Source organism: Homo sapiens, chromosome 7, assembly GCF_000001405.40.
Source record: "Homo sapiens chromosome 7, GRCh38.p14 Primary Assembly".
Classification (NCBI taxonomy): Eukaryota; Metazoa; Chordata; class Mammalia; order Primates; family Hominidae; genus Homo; species Homo sapiens.
In genome coordinates, this window is record NC_000007.14 from 139,741,645 (window position 1) to 139,742,132 (window position 488).

The window sequence follows — 488 nt, forward strand, 5'->3', positions numbered from 1 at the left end:
CCACCTTTGTTATTTCTCCAATTCCGTGAACGTTGATCAGTTCAGTATAGCTCTGAATTTTCACAGGTAACTCCTCCTGTCTCCTGTGCATTCATTTTCTCAGTCACTATTCAATAAATACTCAGTATGATCACCACCATTCACGTTTTGTTGTTTGTAATATGGTTCGTCTTTTGAAATCATAGATAAGTGGCACAGAACCTGGTATGATGAAAAATGTCAGAGAAAACAAAGATAAGAACGTGAACTTGATCTTTACATACACTCTCTCATCTAAGCCTCACGGCAACCCTGGGAGGTCATTATTATCATCCTCACCTTACAGAAGAAAGAGATCCAGAGAGACTGGCAGGATTCGCTCCCCCAAGGTCATGAGCTCGTAAAATCAGAGGACCTGAATTCAAACACATGTCAGTATGACCCTAATGCCTTTACATTTTCCATTAGGAATGTAAATGACAACATCTTTAAAAGTCATAAACCCTTAC

The 488-nt window shown here is 39.3% G+C and overlaps 1 protein-coding gene across 8 annotated transcripts in view; it reads right to left on the reverse strand.

Moving 5' to 3' along the window:
* HIPK2 (homeodomain interacting protein kinase 2) overlaps nucleotides 1–488 on the reverse strand; it is a 216,429-nt gene that overhangs the window by 180,075 nt on the left and 35,866 nt on the right. For 3 of the 8 annotated variants that reach the window (XM_047420261.1, XM_047420262.1, XM_047420263.1), the window contains exon 2: nucleotides 5–394. The exons of 4 other annotated variants lie outside the window; for them this stretch is intronic. The gene's annotated coding sequence lies outside the window, so the exon portion shown is untranslated. The remainder of the gene's footprint in view (nucleotides 1–4; nucleotides 395–488) is intronic. One more of the 8 variants, XM_047420264.1, reaches the window with a different exon arrangement.